At 42.5% G+C, this 3829-nt stretch overlaps 1 annotated feature.

Annotated features, from left to right (window-relative positions):
* Nucleotides 2518-3410: an enhancer, noted in NCBI's record as "H3K4me1 hESC enhancer chr6:95220312-95221204 (GRCh37/hg19 assembly coordinates)". NCBI's record gives its function as "activates a minimal SCP1, AML or CMV promoter by ChIP-STARR-seq in naive H9 embryonic stem cells {active_cell/tissue: H9 hESC(naive)}" and the evidence as "EXISTENCE:reporter gene assay evidence [ECO:0000049][PMID:30033119]".

Here is a 3829-nt window from a genome sequence, read left to right on the forward strand (position 1 = left end):
AGACATATAACCCAACTTAAAAATGGACAAAACATTTAAATAGGCATTTTTCCAAGAAGAGATACAAATGGTCAAAAAGTACCTGAAAAGAAACCAACTTAATTGGTTAATAGAAAAACGTAAATTAAAAGCTATAATGAGATACTATTTTATACCTACTAGAATAGTTATAAACAAAAAAGAGACAGTAACAAATGTTGGTAAGAATGTAAGAAAATTCAAACCCTCACTGACTAGTGTTAAGATTGTAAAATGATGCCATTATTTTAAAAAACACATAGGCAGTTCCCTACTAAGTGAAACATTGGGTTTCTATATTATCCAGTAATTCTACTCTTAGATATAGAACTAAGAATTGAAAAATCTATAGCCACAGAAAAACTTGTACACAATTGTTTATAGGAGCATTATTTATAATTGCAAAAAATAACCCAAATGTTCATCAACTGACAAATGGATATGTGATCCAGCCATACAAGGAAATATTATTTTGCCAACAAAGTAAACGCATTACTGATACATACTACAATATGGATAAACCTTGAAAACATTATGATAAATTTTTAAAAAAGGATACAAAAGATTACATATTGTACGATTATTATTTATAATTATTACTATTTTTGAAACAGGGTCTCACTCTGTCACCCAGGCTGGAGTATACTGGTGTGATCTCGGCTCACTGCAACCCTGCCTCCCTGGCTCAAGCGATCCTCCATCTCAGCCTGCCAAGTAGCTGGGACTACAGGCGCATGCCATCACAGCCGGCTAATATTTGTATTTTTTGAAGAGATAAGGTTTCACCATGTTGCCCAGGCTGATCTTGAACTCCTGAGCTCAAGCCATCCACTCACCCTCACCTTTCTTTTTCTTTTTTTTGAGATGGAGTCTCGCTCTGTCGCCCAGGCTGGAGTGCACTGGCACGATCTCTGCTTACTGCAACCTCCACATCTAGGGTTCAAGCGATTCTCCTGCCTTAGCCTCCCAATTATCTGGGAATACAGGCATCTGCCACCATGCCCAGCTAACTGTGTATTTTTAGTAGAGATGGGGTTTTGCCACGTTGGCCATGCTGGTCTCAAACTCCTGACCTCAGGTGATCCACCTACCTTGGCCTCCCGAAATTCTGGGATTATAAGCGTCAGCCACTGCGCCCGGCCCCGCCTTCACCTTTCAAAGTTCTGGGATTAAAGGCCTGCACTACTGCACTCAGCCAGATTATTTTGATATGATATGTCTAGAATAGGCATTCATATGAGTAGAAAATAGATTTGTTGTCAGGGGCTTGAGGAGGCAAGAAATAGGAGGTTGCTCTCAATGAGTACAGAGTGTCATTTTGTGATGATGCCAATATTCTGGAATTAGATAGTGGTGATTGTTGACATTTCTGTAAATATACTAAGACCCCCAAAGTTTTACACCTTAAAAGAAAGACTTAAGGTATGTTAATTATATCTCAAGTAAAACCAACAAAATTATGAGAAGAAACATTATGCATATGCATGGATAAAAATAAACAGAAGAACAGGAGATCATTTTAAAAATTATTTTAAAAACATAATGAGATACTTCTACACATCTGTTAGAACAGCTAAAATAAAAACGACTGATCCTATTATGTGTTGGAGAGTATGTGAAAGAACTGAACTCTCTTATGCATCTGGTGAGAATGTAAAATGGTACATTCCATTGCTTTTATGGAGCATTTTGCAAACTGCAAACAGTTTGGCAGACTCTTAAAAAGTTAAACTTACACCTACCACATGATCCAGCTATTCCATTTTTAGTTATTTATCTAAGAGAGGTACAGACATAGTTGCTTTACCTGTAATAGCCAAAGAGTGGAAACAACCCAAATGATCCACGAATGGATCCACGAACAGGTGAATGGATCCATGAACTGTAGTTATAGAAATACAATGGAATGCTATTTTGGCAATAAAATAAATATTAAACATGCAACATTATGACTGAATCTCAAAATAAATATTCTGGGTGGGGGGAAAAAAAGCCAGAAACAAAAGGACTGCATACTGTGTAACTCTATTTCTATACAACTCTAGAACATGCAACACAACATCTTTACTAATAGAAATCAGCAGTTGCCTGGGAGAGGAGGTGGTAGGTAGAGTAAGAGGTAGGAGATGTATTTGTTATCTTCATGGTGGTGATGTTTTCATATGTATGTGTCTTTGTGTCAAACTTTTCATATTTATAATTTAAATATGAGCAGTTTGCAGTTATTTACATTTCACTAAAGCTGTTAATATTTTCTGTTTCAGAGAGCTACTTTTAAAGCATTCATCCATTTTCTCTGATTGAGAATATAACAGTAATAAATACATATTCTATGCTATAGAGTTCCTGCTGAATAGTCAATGACTACATTTGTCCTGTTAATATTATATCCCAGAACTTAGCATATTGCCTCACATTAGGACATTTGTGTTAAAAATATGTTTTGTTACAATTTTATCCAAAAACCAACAGGTCATCTGAAGGAAGTTCACTCAGCAAAGTATGTTCCTAACTGAAAAAAAAAAAAAAAAAAAGATTTCATGTGACCAAGAATTAAATGCTTTCTTGAAAATACATAATCTGAATAATATTTAACCTTTAGGAAAGTGGTAAGTTAGGATATTAACACTATTTCTTAAATAATTCCATCATTATTTCATTATTCTCACAACCATTTATTGAATAACTACTGTATGCCAAGTTCTATACTAGTCGCTCAAATTTAATAAATATTTATTCAGGTCCCCGCCCTGCAAAGTTTCTCTGACATACCTACAGTGCGGGCCCTGATGATCGCTGCCCCTCGAAAGGAGGAGAGAGGGACTGAACTCACCTCCTGGGCAGTCCGCCTGCCCCGTCTCCACCAGGCTCCGCACCAGTGGCAGTCGAGGTACTAGGGCCAGAATCCCCGCCACCTGTCGGCCTGTCATCTCACCTACTCCCTGCTCCCTCCACCGTGGGTCCGAGGTCCCAGCCAGCTACACCCCCACTCCCAGGTGGAGGCTCCGAGCTCCTCGCTGGCCTGCGGAGAAGGCGGGGAGCCAGCTGTCCCCTGAGCCAGGAAGGGGATGGGTGTGAGCGGGTGACTGGGCAGCCCCTTACGTCAGAGGAGCTTGTGGAGAATGAGGCGTGGGGCTGGGATCTTGCACCTAGATGTCATCCCGGGGTGGGGACAAGATGGCCGAATAGAAGCAGCAGCAATCCGGGGCTCCCATCAAAAAGAACCATAATTAGTGTGTGGATCCTGCACTGGCAACCAAGGTATCCAGGTTCTCTCATCAGAACTGACTAGGTGGCTGGCGTGATCCACGGAAAGAAAGGAAGAGCAATGTGGTGCAGCGGCACACCGGTCAGGGGAGCCCTCACCACCGACCCCCCGCCCCTCCCCGCGCCCCACCCCCGGCCCCCGCTTCCCCGCCCCCACCCAAACCCCGCCAAGGGAGGCGGTGAGTGAGAGTGCTACCCAGCCAGGGAAACCATGTTTTTGTTTTTTCCGTGGAACTGTTCAACCCACGCCACCAGGGCCTAGGGTCTCAACCCTGGAGCCATGCAGATTTTCAACAGCCTCTTAGCTAGAATCTGCTTAAGCCTGTCAAGCTCCGGGGAGGGAGGGCGACCAGGGCCGCAGCTGCGCTGCCTGCTCTCTAAGCTGTTTGAGTTCCTTCCTTGTGGGAAGGGGCAGCAGCCAACACTGGGACTCATAACTGCCTGGGCTGGGGAAGGGCGGCATCCATCTCTATAGCTCCAGGCCGCACCCTGCTCCCCTGCTGGAGCCAGGGAGATTGGACAACGTGGTTCCAATAGTTGTCCT

This window comes from Homo sapiens, chromosome 6 (assembly GCF_000001405.40).
Source record: "Homo sapiens chromosome 6, GRCh38.p14 Primary Assembly".
Lineage (NCBI taxonomy): Eukaryota > Metazoa > Chordata > Mammalia > Primates > Hominidae > Homo > Homo sapiens.